Below are 21,802 nucleotides of genomic sequence, written 5' to 3' on the forward strand. Positions count from 1 at the left end.
TAAAAAGAGTTCCAGAAGCAATCAGTCATCATAGATTTGAACAGCGAGTAGCATAAGAAAAACACGACTTTGCCTTGCAAAGAAAGAAATGGCATTAATAGTTTTGCCACTTAAAAGTCCAAGATAATTGTAAAACATGCTTCAACACAACCTCCAATCCAAATATTTAACATTAAATAATGTGCAGAAGCTTATGAAGAAATGTAGTGTTGGAGCTAGATAGAAAACCACATTTTAAATTTGAAACACTAGTTCATTTTAACAAATTATAGACATAAAGTCCTTGCCCATGCCTATGTCCTGAATGGTGATGCCTAGGTTTTCTTCTAGGGTTTTTATGGTTTTAGGTATAACGTTTAAGTCTTTAATCCATCTTGAATTGATTTTTGTATAAGGTGTAAGGAAGGGATCCAGTTTCAGCTTTCTACATATGGCTAGCCAGTTTTCCCAGCACCATTTATTAAATAGGGAATCCTTTCCTCATTGCTTATTTTTCTCAGGTTTGTCAAAGATCAGATAGTTGTAGATATGCGGCGTTATTTCTGAGGGCTGTGTTCTGTTCCATTGATCTATATCTCTGTTTTGGTACCCCTACCATGCTGTTTTGGTGACTGTAGCCTTGTAGTATAGTTTGAAGTCAGGTAGCATGATGCCTCCAGCTTTGTTCTTTTGGCTTAGGATTGACTGGGCGATGCGGGCTCTTTTTTGGTTCCATATGAACTTTAAAGTAGTTTTTTCCAATTCTGTGAAGAAAGTCATTGGTAGCTTGATGGGGATGGCATTGAATCTATAAATTACCTTGGGCAGTATGGCCATTTTCACGATATTGATTCTTCCTACCCATGAGCATGGAATGTTCTTCCATTTGTTTGTATCCTCTTTTATTTCCTTGAGCAGTGGTTTGTAGTTCTCCTTGAAGAGGTCCTTCACGTCCCTTGTAAGTTGGATTCCCAGATATTTTATTCTCTTTGAAGCGATTGTGAATGGGAGTTCACTCATGATTTGGCTGTTTGTCTGTTATTGGTGTATAAGAATGCTTGTGAATTTTGTACATTGATTTTGTATCCTGAGACTTTACTGAAGTTGCTTATCAGCTTAAGGAGATTTTGTTCTGAGACAATGGGGTTTTCTAGATATACAATCATGTATCTGCAAACAGGGACAACTTGACTTCCTCTTTTCCTAATTGAATACCCTTTATTTCCTTCTCCTGCCTAATTCAGGGCAGGCCGGAATTTCCAACACTATGTTGAATAGGAGTGGTAAGAGAGGGCATCCCTGTCTTGTGCCAGTTTTCAAAGGGAATGCTTCCTGTTTTTGCCCATTCAGTATGATATTGGCTGTGGGTTTGTCATAGATAGCTCTTATTATTTTGAGATACAGCCCATCAATACCTAATTTATTGAGAGTTTTTAGCATGAAGCATTGTTGAATTTTGTCAAAGGCCTTTTCTGCATCTATTGAAATAATCATGTGGTTTTTGTCTTTGGTTCTGTTTATATGCTGGATTATATTTATTGATTTGTGTATATTGAACCAGCCTTGCATCCCAGGGATGAAGCCCACTTGATCATGGTGGATAAGCTGTTTGATGTGCTGCTGGATTCGTTTTGCCAGTATTTTATTGAGGATTTTTGCATCAATGTTCATCAAGGATATTGATCTAAAATTCCCTTTTTTGGATGTGTCTCTGCCAGACTTTGGTATCAGGATGATGCTGGCCTCATAAAATGAGTTAGGGAGGATTCCCTCTTTTTCTATTGATTGGAATAGTTTGAGAAGGAATGGTACCAGTTCCTCCTTGTACCTCTGGTAGAATTCGGCTGTGAATCCATCTGGTCCTGGACTCTTTTTGGTTGGTAAGCTATTGATTATTGCCACAATTTCAGAGCCTGTTATTGGTCTATTCAGAGATTCAACGTCTTCCTGGTTTAGTCTTGGGGGGGTGTATGTGTTGAGGAATTTATCCATTTATTCTAGATTTTCTAGTTTATTTGCGTAGAGGTGTTTGTAGTAGTCTCTGATGGTAGTTTGTATTTCTGTGGGATCGGTGGTGATATCCCCTTCATCATTTTGTATTGCATCTATTTGATTCTTCTCTCTTTTCTTATTAGTCTTGCTAGTGGTCTATCAATTTTGTTGATCCTTCAAAAAACCAGCTCCTGGATTCATTAATTTTTTGAAGGGCTTTTTGTGTCTCTATTTCCTTCAGTTCTGCTCTGATTTTAGTTATTTCTTGCCTTCTGCTAGCTTTTGAATGTATTTGCTCTTGCTTTTCTAATTCTTTTAATTGTGATGTTAGGGTGTCAATTTTGGATCTTTCCTGCTTTCTCTTGTGGGCATTTAGTACTATAAATTTCCCTCTACACACTGCTTTGAATGTGTCCCAGAGATTCTGGTATGTTGTGTCTCTGTTCTCGTTGGTTTCTGGGATCTAATTAAACTAAAGAGCTTCTGCACAGCAAAAGAAACTACCATCAGAGTGAACAGGCAACCTACAAAATGGAGAAAATTTTTGCATCTGACAAAGGACTAATATCCAGAATCTACAATGAACTCAAACAAATTTACAAGAAAAAAACAAACAACCCCATCAAAAAGTGGGCGAAGGACATGAACAGACACTTCTCAAAAGAAGACATTTATGCAGCCAAAAAACACATGAAAAAATGCTCACCATTACTGGCCATCAGAGAAATGCAAATCAAAACCACAATGAGATACCAGGTCACACCAGTTAGAATGGTGATCATTAAAAAGTCAGGAAACAACAGATGCTGGAGAGGATGTGGAGAAATAGGAACACTTTTACACTGTTGGTGGGACTGTAAACTAGTTCAACCATTGTGGAAGTCAGTGTGGCGATTCCTCAGGGATATAGAACTAGAAATAGCATTTGACCCAGCCATCCCATTACTGGGTATATACCCAAAGGACTATAAATCATGCTGCTATAAAGACACATGCACACATATGTTTATTGCGGCACTATTCACAATAGCAAAGACTTGGAACCAACCCAAATGTCCAACAACGATAGACTGGATTAAGAAAATGTGGCACATATACACCATGGAATACTATGCAGCCATAAAAAATGATGAGTTCATGTCCTTTGTAGGGACATGGATGAAATTGGAAACCATCATTCTCAGTAAACTATCACAAGAACAAAAAACCAAACACCGCATATTCTCACTCATAGGTGGGAACTGAACGATGAGAACACATGGACACAGGAAGGGGAACATCACACTCTGGGGACTGTGGTGGGGGAGGGGGGAGGGATAGCATTAGGAGATATACCTAATGCTAAATGAGGAGTTAATGGGTGCAGCACACCAGTATGGCACATGTATACATATGTAACAAACCTGCACACTGTGCACATGTACCCTAAAACTTAAAGTATAATAATAATAAAATTTAAAAAAAACAAACAAATTATAAACTCTTCCTTATGTCAGCTAAGCAAATAAAAAAAAAAGGTTAAGGTGGAAATGTACTTTTACCTCATTTTGACTTTTCTGCCAAAATTCTCATCTTTGTTTTTGAATATTAATCTCTGCTCCTGAAATGTCAATCTTTACTTCAATAATTATTTGTTGGACATGTACTCTGTTTCAGGCCCTCACTGGGTGCCGGAGATCCACTAGAATACAAGATCTGTTTCTGTGTCTTTGAGGGACATGTATCCAGCAATTAGTTACATCAGTCCCTTGTAGATGTCAATTCCAGTGTCACAAATTTCTTGTTTTGCAACGTTGAGCAAGTTTTTTTCAATGTTTCTAAGCCTCAGTTTTTTTACCTACAAAATGTAATAATATTTAACCATTAGTAATGTTGTGAAAATTAAGCAAAAATACATGTAATATATTTAACAATGCTTGGTGTTCATTAATGCTTTAATATATACTAACTACTTATATTATTGTTGCTGTTGTGTTAAACATGCATAAGACAGCAGGTACTAGAATGGAAATAAGGGTTCTTACTTGAAATTAAATGGCAGAATTTCATACTGTAATAGGATGTATCAATTTACCTAGTATTAATTAGTGTTAAAATACTGGATTTTTGTCAATTATTATTAGTCTTTGATGCATTTCTGTAGCTAGCATTGTCTTTTGTATGTGTTGGCCTTTGCATATTTTTCCAAAGAAGTATTATATACTTTTGGGGTTTCTTATTTTGAATTGAAGAATATGCTAAGATTGCATAAAAGGAAAAATAATAAATACACTATGTTCAATAGGTCAATGTCTTGTTTTTTGTTTTTTGTTTTTTTTTCACAGCAATGATTTTAAATAAAATAAACATAGTTTAAAAGTCTGAAGTATTTTGTCCTTCATCTCTTACCTATTCAAAAGATAGTAATGGAAATGCTGTCTTCTATAAATTAACTGAGAAGTAAATGACTTAATAGTTATCTATTGAATTTTTTAAAAACACGTTAATAAACAAGGCAGACTTTGTCCAGACTTATAAAAATATAACAAATTGTTTATTTTGAGACATAGTAGAATGTACTGTTCAGGAAATTGTTAAAAATAGAACCATAAAATTAAAGCATGAAGTAAGACATTTCATCTAATAAAAGCCCTAAAGCTGGAGAATAAATAACCTCTACCGGGGAATTTCTGGTAGAAGAGCTCATCTGGGGGGAATCAGCTAAGCCCTGAACTGTGCCCTCAAAGCCTTACTCATGGAGCCTACTTAAAATTTCTGGATAAATACAGCACGTCAGATTAGCCATTCTTCAACTTGTTCCACGTGCCAGTATCTGAATATGGCTCTCACATTTGCAGTACCCTTGACTCCTCCTCAGACTGCAGTTTAGGTGACTCACTTTAGAGGCCTTGTCACCAAAGAAGGAAGATGAATCAGAGGTACAAAGAGAAGAAATTGGAGGTAGAATGAGAGGAAAAATGGATGCATTCAAATAAATAGTTAGCTATTAATAAATTCACAATTTTGATTCCCCTTTTTTCTCATCCACTACTCCATACAATCCACTAAATAGTCCTCTTATTTTAAAAATATATATTGACTTAATTTATGTCTCTTCATCTCTGCTGCCATCTCCCTAGACAAGGCAGTTGTCTAGGCTACTAAGACAATGGCTAGCCAGTTATCCCAACACCATTTATTGAATGGAGAATTCATTTTCCATTGCTTGTTTTTGTCAGGTTTGTCAAATATCAGATAGTGGTAGGTGTGTGGTCTTATTTCTGGGTTCTCTATTCTGTTTCTTAGTCTATGTGTCTATTTTTGTGCCAGTACCAAACTGTTTTGGTTACTGTAGCCCTGTAACATAGTTTGAATTCAGGGAGCATGATGCCTTCATCTTTGTTAGTTTTGCTTAGGATTGCCTTGATTATTCAGTCTCTTTTATGGTTCTATATGAATTTTAAAATAGTTTTCTCTAGTTCTGTGAAAAATGTCAATGGTAGTTTGATGGAAATGGCACTGTATCTATAAATTGCGTTGGGCAGTATGGCCCTTTTAACGATATTGATTCTTCCTATCCATGAGCATGGAGTATTTTTCCATTTGTTTGTGTCATCTCTGGTTTCTTTGAGCAGTGTTTTGTAGTTCTCCTTGTAAAAATATTTCACCTCCCTAGTTAGCTTTATTCCTAGGTATTTTATTCTTTTTGTGACAATTGAGAATGGAATTTCATTCCTGATTTGGCTCTCAGCCTGACTGTTGTTCATGTATAGGAATACTAGTGATTTCTGAACATTGATTTTGTATCCCAAGACTTTGCTAAAGTCGTTTATCAGCTTAAGAATCTTTTGGGCTGAGATTATGAGGTTTTTCAGATACAGGATCATGTCATCTGCAAATAGGGATAGTTTGACTTCCTCTCTTCCTATCTGAATGCCCTGTATTTCTTTCTCTTGCCTAATTGCCCTGGCCAGAACTTCCAATATTATGTTGAATAGGAGTGGTGAGAGAGGGCATCCTTGTCTTGTGCCAGTTTTCAAGTGGAATGCTTCCAGCTTTTGCCAACTCAGTATAATGTTGGCTGTGGGTTTGTCATATATGGCTCAATATTTTGAGGTATGTTCCTTCAAAGTCTAGTCTGTGGAGTGTTTTTATCATGAAGGAATGCTGACTTTTATTGAAAGCCTTTTCTACATCTATTGAGATAATCATGTGGTTTTTGTTTTTAGTTTTGTTTATGGAACATTACTATTTTAAAATTGGTTTAGCTATTAGATTCTCACTAGATCTTATTCAGTGTGTTCAGAAAGCACTTGTATTACTATATCACCATTGAAAAAATATTTGAATACTACAGTTTAGTGTAATTGATTTTCTTTGTGTTCTTATATTCTTAAGTTTAATTTATTTTTAATTGACAATAATTCTACATATTTATGTGGTACATAGTGATGTGATACATATAATATGTAGAGATCAGATCAGGGTAGTTAGCATACCCATCATTTCAAATATTTATCATTTTTTGTTGGGAATAGTTGATATCTTTTCTTCTAGCTATTTGAAAATATAAAAAATATTATTTTTGGCTATAGTCATCCTACAGTGCTATAAAACATAAGAACTTATGTCTCTAATCTAGCTGTGATTTTGTGTCCTTTAACAAATGTCTCTTTTCTCCTTTTTTCTCTACATTTTTCAGCCTCTAGTAATCTCTATTCTGCTTTTTCCTTCTGTAAGATCAAGTTTTTTTTTTTGTTTTTTTTTTTTTTGGTTTTTTTTGAGACGGAATCTCGCCCTGTTGCGTAGGCTGGAGTGCAATAGCACGATCTCTGCTCACTGCAACCTCTGCCTCCGGGGTTCAAGCGATTCTCCTGCCTCAGCCTCCCGGAATAGCTGGGAACGCAGGCACCCGCAACCATGCCCGGCTAATTTTTGTATTTTTAGTAGAGACAGAGTTTCGCCACGTCGGCCAGGCTGGTCTCAAACTCCTGACAGGGGATCCGCCTGCTTCGGCCTCCCAAAGTGCTGGGATTACAGGCGTGAGCCACCGCACCTGGCCAAGATTAACTTTTTAAAATTTCCACATAAGAATGAGAACATGTGATGAACAGCTTTTTGTTCCTGCTTTATTTCACTTAACATAATGTACCCCAGTCTCATACATGTTGTTGCAAATAACATGATTGTTATTTTTATAGCTGAGTAATATTCCATTGTATATTTGTACTGCATTAAAAAAATCTCTTCATCTGCTCTCAGACACGGGTTGATTTCATGTCTTGGTTATTGTGAATAGTGCTGCAATAAATATGAGGCTACAAATGTCTCTTTGATATACTGATTTTCTTTCCTTTGGATAAATGCCCAGTAGTGGGATAGATGGATCATATGTAGTTCTATTTGTAGTTTTTTTGTTTTCTTTTGGTTTGGTTTTTAAAGGAAACTCTGTATTGTTCTTCATAGTGGCTGTGCCAGTTTATTTTCCCACCAATAGTGTATAAGAGATCTTTTTCTGGCTCACGCCTGTAATCCCAGCACTTTGGGAGGCCGAGACAGGCGGATCATGAGGTCAGGAGATTGAGACCATCCTGGCTAACATGGTGAAACCCTGTCTCTACTAAAAATACAAAAACTTAGCCGGGCATGGTGGCGGGTGCTTGCAGTCCCAGCTGCTGGGGAGGCTGAGGCAGGAGAGTGGCGTGAACCCCGGAGGCAGAGCTTGCAGTGAGCCGAGATGGCGCCACTGTACTCCAGCCTAGGCGACAGAGCAAGATGCCGTCTCAAAAAAAAAAAAAAAAAGAGTTCTCTTTTCTCCACATCCTCACCAGAATTTATTATTTTGTCTTTTTGATAATAGCCATCCTAACTGGGGTGAGACAGCCTATCACTGTGGTTTTGATTTGCACTTTCCTGATGATAAGTGATGTTGAGCATTTTTTCCACATATTTATTGGCCATTTGTAATTCCCTGTATATTTTACCTTATGTGTACAAGATATTATTCTGAGAAGGGTCCAGACTTCACCAAACTTCCAAAGGGATATATGATGTATTTGTATATGCACACACACACACACACACAAACACACACACAGAGCTAAGAATCCCTGGAGTGGGGATCAAGAGCACCGTAATTGAAACTGGATTGCCTGATTTGAATCTAGCTTTTCACCATTTTCCAGGTTTGTGGCTTGGGGAATGTTAATTAGCTTCTCTATTCTAATTTTCTCATCATCTTGTAAGCAGAGTTTGTAAGTTACCAGGCTGCAAGCCATAACTGTCCTCTATTCCCAACGTGTTTCGTGTTCCCTCAAAGATTTATAAAGAAATCAAGTTAATTACCAAAATTAGATAGTGGAAAATTTCACAAATAAATACAGATTTATTTATTTTCATGAAAAATGAAGCAAACAAATATAAGCCCGGCAATATTTGGCCAGAATTCCAAGTTGGAGCTCAGCTTTTAGATCGAATTATAACCAGAGACCTCGTCTCTCTGTTTTGTTTGCACCAGGCCACTCCATTCATGTATATTACACCAGCAGTTCTGCCTACATGAATAGAGCAGCCTCGTGCAAAACAGAACCTGCCCTTTCTACCACCATGCCTACAACTTTTTTTGCATTTCTAACTCTCACTTTACTGTAATCCACCCTTGTTCCTAGCCTTTCATGCCTTACTCTCAACAAACATTAGCATTTGTTGAATCACCAGGAATATAATGTTTTTACAAATTATTCCTATATGAGACTTTAGGTCAAGCAGGATCATAGAATCTGTTATACTTTTATCCTCTTCTTGTTTTATACCTCTCTTCCTTGTATCCTGATTCGTTTTCTGTTTGTACTCTAGCAGAAATCTGTTTTCAGTCATTGGCATTTCATTATACACTGAAGAGCTATGCTAGCTCTTCCAAGGATATGTCTAATTATAAGAGGATAGGATTTTTCTCTAGGTGAAGTATCTCAGAATTAGTAGGGAGGAGATGACTGTCGTAAGTTGAATTTTCTGCCTTTTAGGCTACTCTCAGTAAAGATAATCCAAGAAATGTTTTTTGGCCCTTTTTACATATCAGAATCTGTGAGATGTACTGAGGAAACAGAAATGATAACATAACTTTCCTATCCTTGAAGAGATTATATTCTAACAAGAGGAAAGATAATTGCCATGGTGTAAATTTGCATGTAGTGATATGGGAACCTAGGAAAAGGCAAGTCTAAATGTCCCTGGCAAAGTCAGAGTAAGCTTGGAGATCAGATGTAGTGCTGAATTTGAGATCTGAATGACAGGTTGGAGTAAAATAAGCCAGGAAGGGAACAGCATGGACAAAGGCAGAGGAGCATAAAATGCCCAATGAATTCAGGACCTACATTTGGTTTACTATTTCTGGAGCACACGATATTAAGTTAGTAGTAGCGGAAAGAGAATCTGTGCTGATAGGAGGTGGTCAGAGCCTTGGATGCTACTATAATAAAGACATTAGGCATATTGTAGAGGTAATGGGGAAGCACTGATTAAGTGGGGGCAGACTATCAGCAGCTGCTTAACTTTTATCCAGTTTCTGCTGTGAGAACTTTTTACAGACTTCTCGGGTGATTTGCTTAGGATGTTTTATCTTATTTTTCCCTGTAGTGGATAAAAGGATGCTAAACATACAGTCTGCACTTGAAGACTATATTGGAGCTACAGAAAAAAAGTTATCCTTGTTCTTTTTGTCTCTTTCCACCCCTCCTGTATAACTTTGAATTTGCTTGTTTTGACCAACATACTGAGACTTGGCTTATGTGGAGTTATGTGGACTATTAGCCTAAGTAATTTCCAGACCGAAATCTCTCTTTTCCCTCTTATTACCTTCTTTCCTCAATGCCTTATGTCTTGAAGCAACTTCTCAGGGTCTTTCTACCTCCCATACTCTGAAATGACCTTATTGGTTTATGGAAATCTGTTCCTCTGCATTGCAATTCTTGCATTTTCACTGATGTGGCAGTTGGTGGAAGCCTAGACCTTAAGATGATAGAACACCTGGAGGGGAGCAGGAAGGATTGCCGAAGAGATCTAGATATCCCTCATGAGGGAGGCACTGCTCAGCACTTGTTTTTCCAGGTGTGAAGTATTCTGACTTGATACTAATTTTGACAATTTTCATCCACTATTGATGAATATCATATATTTATTTATTCTCAAATATTTATTACTGAAAGTTTATAATGTGATGGGCATTATTTTATGGATTACAGAAAAAATAGCAGTGAGGCTGGGAAATAGAAAGCAACAAATTACTACAGTGTAGGATTCTGCCTACCTCCACAGCCCTATTTTGCATTTTTCTCCTCCTTGAACACTAACTTCCCTTGTCTTCTAGCGTGCCAGGCTCCACTGCTGTTGGGGCCTTTTCCAAATGCCATATATCTAACATAATGATATCCATTTGCTCAACCTGCCCATGTCCTATACATGTACCCTCAGGACTAAACCTTGATGGAATTTCTCCAAGAAGTCTTCCAATGACCACAGCAACCGGGGAAGGTTCCAGCATTATATGTTCTTTCGCTATTCTATACATGTTCCTAATAGTGCCCAGCATAATTATAATTAGAAATGATTTTGCTATTCTTTATTGAATACCTTTATATCCCCCCTCTAGACTGGAATTCCTTGAGGGTAGAGAGAAATACATCATATTTACTCTCTATTGCCAACAAGTAACAGAAGGCCTGGCATACACAGATACTCATGCACTTGTTGAAATATTAAATGAGCTGCAATGATAGAAGTATCTGCAGGTTAGTTTTGGAATATAGAGGAGGGATTGGCCAATTATCACAGGTATAAAGGAAGGTTAATTGATGTAACAGAATGTGGTGATAGTCTAGTAGAATCTTAAAATAGGATCTTAGGACAGCAGGGTTGAGGGGAGAGCATTCTAGGCAAAAGGAAGAGCATATGCAAAATGTGGAGGGTAAAACAACATGATGTGTTCTGAGAATGGAACTCATCCATCAGTTTAGAAGAAAAAGATGCTGGTTAGGAGACTGATAAGATATGAAGCTAAAGATTTAGGCATTTAGATAGACCTTAAACTACTTATAAAGGCAATTTTTTATTTACAAATGTGCATACCTTTTGAAATAAAATCTTATTACTGAAGATTTATTCTATGAATACGTCTGGATACATAAGAAATGATATATGTTCACTATTACTTATTGTGGCACTATAATAAAATAAATAGGAGAAAACTTCATTAACTATCAGTAAGATACAAATTAAATAAATTATCCATAGAGTGAAATAATATGAAATGGTAAAAATAATTAGAACTCTCTGTACTGATATTCAAAGCTTCCATACTATTAAGTAAACAAAAAAATAAGTTGAGATATGTAAAATGAATACTCACTTTAAATGATAAGAAGCAAAAAGTATTAATCTATATTTGAATCTGCTTGTATCTGGTTAAAGAAACCACAGATATGGTAATAAAAATTAAATAAAATTAATAAAGTAGATTCAGATGCGTGTATGTTTGTGCATGTGTATGCATACATGCAAGGGAAACTGGAGAGATAAGAGCAGGGATGGAAAGCACACTTTCAATTTTATATATTTTGATACTATTCTGATATTCTCTTTTTTATTATATTACCTTATTTTTATTTTAGTATTATGTCATGCATCAGTTTTATCTTCTTATCAAAGTTGATATACACCTTTCTTTATAGAATTTCTTATCAATATCTTTTTTATTTAAGCAGTTACATTTTTAATTATGAACATGACAATTTCAGCAAAAATAATGTACCAACTTTGTGCCAATAGTAGTGGAGGATGCAAAGGAAGGCAAAATCTAGTGGTCTGGAGAATCTTCCAATTTAGTCAGGAAGACATGCAGCACATAACTAGGTGTATGTTTAAGTATTTTACCATAGATCTACAACATTCATGACATAATCTCAGCTACACAGGGCAATAGGAACACCTTAAGTATTGTCAGGTAAACTAAGAAAATGTAAGTGATATTTTAGCAGTCAGTTATGCTCACTACCTGGGTGATGAGATCATTTATACCTCAAACTTCAGCATCATGCAATATACCCATGAAACAAACCTGTACATGTACCCTCTCAATATAACGTAAAAGTTGAAATTTTTTGTACATATTATGGGGTACATGTGATGTTTTGATACAGGCATACAATGTGTAATGATCAAATCTGGGTAACTGAGGCATCTATAACCTCAAGCATTTATCATTTCTTTGTGTTAGGAGCATTCCAGTTCAACTCTTTTAGTTATTTTTAAATATACAATAAATTATTGTTAATTATAGTCACCCTATTGTGCTACCGAATACTGGACCTTATTCCTTCTGTCTAACTGTATTTTTGTATCCATTAGCCATATCGTCTTTATCTCTCCCTCCCCACTACCCTTCCCAGCCACCATTCTATTCTCTCCATGAGTTCAATTTTTTTAGCTCCCAAATATGAGTGAGAACATGTGATATTTGTGTAAGTCAGCTTAATAGCTTCTGAACAGCTTGACTAAAGAAACATACATTGTATTTTTTTCTTTTTTTTTCCTAACTAATGTTGGTGAGGATGTGGATAAAAGGGAACCTTCGTATGCTCTTGGTGGGAATGTAAACTGGTACAGCCACTATGGAGAACATTATGGAAGTTCCTTAAAAAACTAAAAATAGTACTACTATATAATCCAGTAATCTCATTCCTGGGTCTATATCCAAAAGAAAGGAAATCAGTATATTGAAGAGATATCTGCTCTCTCATGTTTATTTCAGCACTATTCACAATAGCCAAATATGGAATCAACCAAAGTGTCTATCAATGGACGAACAGATAATTAAACTGTGGTGCACATACACAGTGAAATATTTTTCAGCTATACAAATGATAAAATCCTGTTATTTGCAAAGCATGGATGGAACTGGAGGACATCATGTTAAGTGAAGTAAATCAGGCATGAAAAGACAACTATCACATGTTCTCACTCATATTTCTCACTCATATCTCAGCTAAAAAAAACTGAACTCAGAGAGAGAGAAAGTAGAATGATGGCTACTGGAGATTAGGAAGGGTAGTGGGGAGGGAGATATAAAGAGGATATGGTTAATGGGTACAAAAATACAGTTAGAAGGAATAAAGTCTAGTATTCGGTAACACAATAGGGTGACTATAGTTAACTATAATTCATTGTCTATTTAAAAATAACTGAAAGAGTTGAATATAATTTTAGAAAAACATTTTTTTCTGTATATATATATATATACACATTTCTGTATATCTGTATATATGTAGAAAATATTTTAAGCTATTAAATTTAACTAGTGCATTTAGCAATGTTGTTTGATAATGGTTAATTTTTCCCAAATTGATCCATAGATTTAATGCAATCTCAATCAAATTTCTAATAATATATTTGAGCAAATTGACAAGCTGATTCTAAAATTTATATGCAAATACAAAGAGGTAAGAATATCCAAAGAAATTCTGAAGGAAGGCATACACTACATATATCAAGACTTTCTTCAAATTTTGAAAGAAGACACAAGAAGTCTTCATATATGGTAGACTATGTCATCCTTTGAAACTTTCTTGACTATTCTTGCCTCTTTGCATTTCCAAAAACATGGAATTAACCTAGATGCCCATAAATAGTAGACTGGATGAAGAAAACAAGATACATATACACCATGGAATACAATGCAGCCATAAAAAAGAATGATATCATGTCCTTTGCAGCAACATAGATGAAGCTAAAGGCCATTATCCTAAGCAAAGACACACAGAAACAGAAACAAAAAACCAAATACCACATGTAGTCACTCATAAGTGGGAGCTAAACATTGAGTAGGAATGGACACGAAAAAGAAAACAATAGACACTGGGGCCTACTACAGAGAGAAGGGTGGCAGAAGGGGGAAAATCCAAAAACCACCTATTGAGTACTATGCTTATTACCTGGGTAACAGAGTAATCTGTATAACAAACATCTGTGACATATAATTTACCTATAAAACAAACTTGCACATATACCCCTGAAATAAAAATAAAAGTTAAACAAAAGACTATATATTGAAATCTTGTATTGGTAAAGAAAAAAGAAACATGCTAGTGAAACACATTAGAGATTCTGGGAATAAAAAGAAAGTATATAGTCACCTGATCTATGAGAAATAGGATAATGAAGAGAAGAAACAAAAATATGATGCTTGGCAATTATGCTCCTACCTTGAACAAACAACTACAAAAAAGCTTGGCTCTAAATTCACAAAATTCACAAAAATAATTCAGAATAATATATATCTCTATATAAATAAAAATAAAGCTTTCAGAAGATGATATAGGAGATATAGGAGAATGTTCTCATGACTTTTGTATATGCAAGGATTTCTTAAATACGACAAATTATTTTAAACAAAAGAAAAAATGACAAACTAGACTTCATTAAAATACATTATCAATCATCATTAAAGACATTATGAGAGTGAAAATGCAGCTCATAATTTGGAAAAGGAAATTTACTAAGCATATAAGCAGCCCCCAAGATATTCCTCCTTTTAAACTTTATATTGAAAATACTAAAAGTCTGCTTATAAATCAGTAAGAAAAAAGCAGACTAATGGATAAATGGGCAAAAACTTGATAAGCTGTTTACAAAAGGAGATATTCAAATGCTCAATAAGCATATGAAAGTTTGCTTAACTGTATTAATAATTATTCATATACATATTGAAATTTTAATGCAATATGTATTTATATACATCAGAATGGCTAAACTGAAAAAGTAATACTCTCCTAGATGTTAATTAGGATGTGGAGCAACAGAAACTCTCACAGACTATTACTGAAACATGCATTTATACAATCGTTTTGGAAAGCTGGAAGAATATACCAAAAGTGAACACACATATACTACTCTACCACACACTAATTCTACTAATTTTCTCCTAGTTGTATGTCCAACATACAATATATACTAAAAGGCATGTATGAAATATTCATAGCAGTTCTATTAGTAGCAGAACTGTAATACAAGCCATATGCCCATCAACAATAGACTAAATACTGGTATATTAATAAAATAGATTACCATACAACAACGAGAATAAAAGAACTATAATTGTACACCAAAACATAGATGTATGCTGAGCAAAAAGTCAGACAATAGTTAAAACAAACTGTATTACTTTATATAAATTCTAAAATGGCAAATGTAATCCATTTTGTTAGAAGTCAGGGGACTAATTACTCTTCAGTTAACAAAGTCAAAAACTGATAGAAAGTTTAAAAGGAAGAATAACTTAGGGGCTGGTAATGTTCTTTAGATCAATCTATTAAATAGTCATGTGGCTGAGTTCATGTGAAGGTATGGTAGTCTCCCAAAAGGTATTCATGTCTTCATTCCTGAAATTTATAAATTTTACCTTATATTTGAAAAAAGGGGTATTTGTTGTTGTGCTTAATTTATGAATCTTGAAATCTGGAGATCATCCTGGATTATCTAGCTGGGCCTAAAATTCAATCACATGTATCCGTGTAAGAGGAAGGCTAAGAGAGACCTTATACATAAAGTGGTAGATTGATATAAAGTTGGAGCAAAGAGATTTGAAGATGTGAGGGTGATGTGGCCAATAGCCAAGGAATCCTCACGGACACCAGAAGCTGGAAACGGCAAGAAACAGATTTTTCTCCAGAGTTTCTGAAAGAAGTGTGGCCCTGTTAACATCTTGATTTTGATCCAGTGATACTGATTTTGAATTTCTGTCCTCCATAACTAAGAGAAAATATGTTTCTGTTCTTATGAGCCACCCAGTGTGTAGTAATTTGTTACTATAGGAAACTAATACAATGGTGATTCATCATTCATCAAACTATACATACACTTATGATTTGTGATTTTTTATGTTTCTGTTACACCTCAGTAAAGAGTTTACTAAAAATTAAATGCGTAAAGAACAGGCTTAAGTGATGTATGAACTTCTTCAACAAATATTAATAAAGTTTTTATTCTATCCAGAATTTCTGCTAACTACTGGGAATTTAATGATGAGAAAAATGAAAAATATCCCAGTCCTAGTGGAAAAGGCAGGTTAAACAAATAGCTATAGAGTCTAAATTGCTTTGATACAGACTTAAGAGCAGGTAAGAAAAATCTGAGGCCTGAAGTATGTTAGTAGACAAAGAAGAAAAGTGAAGCTCTCCCTAGTACAGAAATCTACTTACAAAGGAAATTATCTACAAAGGATAATCAGATAACCACTGCACTGGAGAAATTAAAAGCTCAGATTATAGGAGACAGAGTAAATTACGGGGAACTAAGTATTCATCAATTTTCTTATATCTTCTTCTAGAGTGTAGAGCTGTTACTGGAAAATAGCTCCCCTTCTGGAACTACAATTCTTAGTCACCTTTCTTCTAAGCAAGGCCATATGTCCTATTCTTACCAACAAAATATCATATTCTTATCAACAAAAAGAAATAATTTGACTAACATAGTAATAATGAAGTCTGCCTTAACTCTTTAGTCCTTTGTCTGCCAAGAGGATGCAGAAGACTCTGGGATCCTAAATAAATCTTAAATCAAGAAGATGCAAGAGGAAGTGACACCAATAAGATAGCTGACTAGAAGTTCCTAACACTCAACCTCCTCCCCGGCCACCACACAAAAGGACCAAAGAAACAAATAAATAACCACATTTCAACTAAAATATATGAAAGAGAGCCCTGGAGTACAACAAGGAAATGGCAGAGACCATGTGGATCACGGAGACTCAGGATGGCCATATAAAAAAGGGAATGGAACACTCTGCCTTTACCATCTTTTCTCTCCTAGTGGGATGAGGTCAGAGCCAGGGCAGACTCTCCTTACAGAGAAAAGGTATGCAGGAGGCCCTCAGCAACACAAATTAAAATGTGGACACCCACAATCTTTGCTCCTGGAGATCACTGTAGTCCTTACAGGTCCTAGGCCCAGCCTGAGGAGTTGCCTGGAGTTCACATGTCTATGTTACTCCAAACAAGGAGCTATATTGTGTCTCATCCTGCCCTATTATCGAAGCTGCTGCAGTGTAATGACATCTTGAGACTGAAGCCACTGCTAGGGTGCCTTCTCATTTGGGGGCCAGTAGCCACTCTATCTTCCCATATCCTAGGCTTCACTGCCACTACACCACACCTACTCATGGTAGCGCACCATTCTGCAGCTGAGCAGCTACAACTTCTAACCCCATGGAAACAAACTGCCAAGAAGGCACTCCATCTTTCCATCCCAGTGACTGCGGTATCTTGGCTCCGTCTACTCAGAGCCTAGGACCAGCACAACAGCTGTAACCTTAGCACCTGAGCCCATGTGGCACCCTGTTCCCCAAGGAACAGGCACTCATGCCCAGTGATGAGGCTGTACCCAAGCTAGCATAGCAGCCTCACAAACTCCTGCAGCCTAAGACATTTTCTTATGAGGAAATCCCCCTATATGGGACTTCATGGCTGTATCTTGCTGCTCGGACTATCAGCATATTTCTCAGAATATTTCTCAACCTTGCAGGCCAGGAAATAATGGGATAATATATTCAAAGTGCTGAGAGAAAAAAATAAAACTTCTAGTCAAGAACAGTATACTCATCAAAGTTATTCTTTAAATATGAAGGAGAAGTAAAGTCTTTCCCAGACAAGCAAAAGTTGATGGAATTCATCACCACTAGAACAGCTGTACAAGAAATGCTTAAAAGACGGCTTCAAAGGATGTTAATTGCCACCATGAGGTGAAAGGATGTTAATTACTACCATGAAAGTATTTAAACTCACTGGTAGAAGTAAACTCATAATTAAATTCAGAGTGCTACATTATTGTAGTGGTGGTATACAGTATGAAGGTTAAAAGTCAAAATGGTCAACAATAACCATAGCTACAATAAGTTTTTAAGAAATAAACCATATAAAAGATGTGAATTAAGACAAAATTATAAATTGGGTTGGAGGGTAAAAGTCTAGAATATTTGCAGGCAATCAAAGTTAAATTGTTATTAGCTTAAAATAAACCTTTAGAACTATAAGATTTGTTATGTAAGCCCCAGAGTAACAAAAAAGAAAAAAGTTACAGCATATATGCAAATGAAAAAGAGAATGGAATAAAACCATGAAACCACAAAAGCAAACACAAGAGAGGAAGAAAGAAACAAAGACCTACAAAATAACCAGAAAACAATGAACAAAATGGCAACAGTAAATCCATAACTATCAATAATAACCTTCAATATAAGTGTATTAAATTCTGTAATTAAAAGATGGCTGAATGCATTTTAAAAACATACAACTATATACTGCTTACAGGAGACTTACTTCACCTGTAAAGACACATATTGACTAAAAATAAAGAAGAGAAAACTATATGCCATGCAAATGGAAATCAAAAGAGAGCAAAAGTAGCTATACTTAGATCAGATAAAATAGACTTTAAGTCAAAAACTGTAAAAAGAGACAAAGATGGTCATGATATGATGAACAGGTCAATTCAGTAAGGGGATATAACAACTACAAATATATATGAATCTCAAACCAAAACACCCAGGCATATAAAGCAAATATTATTAGATGTAAAGGGAGAGATAGACTCTAATGCAATAATAATAGAGGACTTCGATATCTCACTTTTGGCAAAGGACAGATCATCTAGACAAAAATTCAGCAAAAAAAAACAACAAATATAAAGCGCACTCTAGATCATGTGGACCTACCAGATATTCACAGAACATCCCACTCAACAGTTGAAGAGTATGCATTCTCCCCATCAGCACATGGAAGTGTCTTCAGGGTAGATCAGATGTTAGGCCACAAAACAAATCTCAGCAAATCTGTAAAAATCAAAATCAAGTATCTCTTTTGACCATGATGGAATAAAACTAGAAATCACTAACAGTAAAAACTTTAGAAACCATTTAAATACATGTAAATTTAACAACATACTCCTCTATAACAAATGGATTAATGAATAAGTTAAAAAGAAAATTCAAACACTTCATGAGACAAATGAAATTGGAAACACAGTATATGAAAACTTATGGAATACAGCAAAAGCAGTTCCAAGAGGGAAGTTTACAGCAATAAACACCTACGCCATAAAAGACAAAAAGTCTCAAATAAACAGTCTAACCTCATACCTCAAGGAACTAGAACAACAAGAACAAACATAAAATTAGTAGAAAAAAGAAATAAATGAGTGGATATAAGTGGAATAGTGACTAAAACAATACAGAAATCCTTGAACAGAAACAAACCTTTAATTAGATTAACTTAGAAAAGTAGATGGAAGGTTCAAATAAAATCAGAAATAAAAAAGTATACATTACAACTGATGTAACAGCAATACAAAGGATTATAAGAGACTATTATGAACAACTACATGCCAACATATACATATACAACCTACCAAAATTGAATTATGAAAAAGTAGAAAATCTGAAGAGACCAATAGTGAGCAACAACATAGAATCTATAATAAAAAGTCTCCCATCAAAGAAAAGCTCCAGATATGATGGCTTCACTAGTGAAATCTACCAAACATTTAAAAGATGTTATCAATACTTTTCAAACTATTTCAAAGTAATTGAAGATGAGAGAATTCGTCCAAACTCATTCTACAATGCTGGCATAACTGATACAAAAACCAGTCAAGGACACAACAAAATATGAAACGACAGGACAATATCTCTGATAAAAATAGATGCAAAAATATTTAAGAAAATACTAGCAAACCAAATTCAACAGCACATTAAAAAGATCATTCACCATGATCAAATGGGATTCATTCTAGATAATACAACCTACATAATACAATAAATGTGATATAGCACATTAGCAGGATCAAGGACACAAGCTAATCTATCACTTTGATAAACAGAAAAAGTATTTGACAATATTCAACAATGCTGTTTGATTAAAACTCTCAACAAAATGTACCTCAACACAATAAAGGCCAAAAATGATAAACTACAGCTAACTGGAGAAAAGTTGAAAGCTTTTCCTCTAAGATCTGAAACAAGACACAGATGCCAATTTTCACCACTTTTATTCAACATAGTACTAAAGTTCTAGCCAGATAAATTAGGCAAGAAAAATAAATAAAAAGGATCTATTTGGAAAGAAGGAAGTCAAATTGTTTATTTCATGATTTTATACATAGATTTTATATAAAGGTTCAACCAAAAAGCTCTAAGAAGTGATAAATAAATTCAGTAAAGTTGCAGGATACAGCATCAACCAAAAATATCAGTAGCATTTCTTTTTTTTAATAACTTTTATTTTAAGTTCAGAGGTACATGTGCGGGTTTGTTACATAGGTAAACTTGGGTCATGGGAGTTTGTTGCACAAAATAATTTCATCACCCAAGTACTTATTTGTTCTATTGGCTGCAGGGTGACTATAGTTAATATTGCATATTTCGAAATAATTAGAGGAAAGGATTTTAAGAGTCCTTACCACAAACTAATGATCAATGTTTTAGATAATGAATATGCTGAATAACCTGATTCTATCATTACTGAATATATGCATGTATTGAAACATCACACTGTGCCCCATAAATATGTGCAATTATTATGTGACAATTAAAAGCAAAATAAAACTTTTCAAAAATAAAGATGGAAGAAACCTGGGTTGCTCAATCTCTGACGGGTGACCAGTCACCAACCATAACACTACTGAGCATAGGTACATGAGCAGATATATCATTTCATGTGGCTAAGTACCTAAAATTTTATGATATTTTGTTACATTAGCTAGAATTACTCACACTAATAACAAAGAGAGTGAGATATAAGCCTGGGTAGAATAATCAATTTTAGAATGATGTTGTTAAGTCTTACTAAGAAATCTCAACTTTGCTAAAAGGACAATGGAAAGATTGAGGTATTTTAGGAGGTTTAATGTTATATATTTAGACTAAGCAATTTGATTGATTACAGAAAATGTATTACAAATAAAAAAATCATAATGAGATAAGTTGATGACACCTATTGCATCAATCCAGTGTGTAATGAAGTTGGGCTAGTTGAAGATCATAGTAAAATAGAATTGAACAGACTCAGAAGTAAAGTTTATATAGATAATGCCTATTACTTGACTACATTTGACTGTAAGGGAGAAACAAAATTGGTGTAAAATTTTCTTGCTTGAGGAGCTAGCAAGACAATACACAACTCCAGGAGTTCATTCATTTAAAAAATGTCTTTATGAATTGTTACATAAGGGAAAGATAAGTTGAATATTGTCCATAATGAATTTGAAGTGTGCATATGAAAACAAGTGGAGATGCTCAGTAGGTAATTGAATATATAGAAAAATATACAGAAAAAAAAAGCATGCTATTAAAAAAAAAAGTACCTTTAACACCTTCTCACAGGAGAATGACAAAATTCCCCCTAAAACCAGAAGCCATTTATTTAGTGAAATAGCTTGGTGGGTCACATTTTTGTAAGTGTTGAGCAAGAAGCAGACCCATTACAATGGGTCAAGAAGTGTATTAGTCAAGGCCACAGAAGAAAACATAAAACCTATTTGGCAAAGGTTTTCAACATAATATGAGAATCAACTATCTATAAAAATCTTGGCAGGATTAAATGAGGCATCCTACCACCAGAACCAGCAGGAAGCTTTATTACTCTTGGCCTGGAGAGACAAGTAGAGGGTTAGAAATTGTTGAGAGCTAGAGCCATAAAGGGACCTACAAGGTATAAATACTCAAGGATAGATTACTAGAAGAATTCTAGTGAAGTGGCAGGGAGGAGAAACTGAGTAAAATCCAGACCTTTCTCTCCTTTTTCCCTCTAAT

General features: G+C 35.1%; 1 long non-coding RNA gene across 5 annotated transcripts in view; it reads right to left on the minus strand.

The window, feature by feature from the left end:
* Positions 1-21,802, minus strand: part of LOC105372004 (uncharacterized) — an 87,301-nt gene that overhangs the window by 18,168 nt on the left and 47,331 nt on the right. For all 5 annotated transcript variants that reach the window (XR_935172.2, XR_935173.3, XR_935175.2 and 2 more), the window contains 2 exons: positions 18,710-18,826; positions 3,513-3,808 (listed from right to left, as the gene is read on the minus strand). This is a non-coding gene — a long non-coding RNA (uncharacterized LOC105372004). The remainder of the gene's footprint in view (positions 1-3,512; positions 3,809-18,709; positions 18,827-21,802) is intronic.

This window comes from Homo sapiens, chromosome 18 (assembly GCF_000001405.40).
Source record: "Homo sapiens chromosome 18, GRCh38.p14 Primary Assembly".
Taxonomy (NCBI): Eukaryota; Metazoa; Chordata; class Mammalia; order Primates; family Hominidae; genus Homo; species Homo sapiens.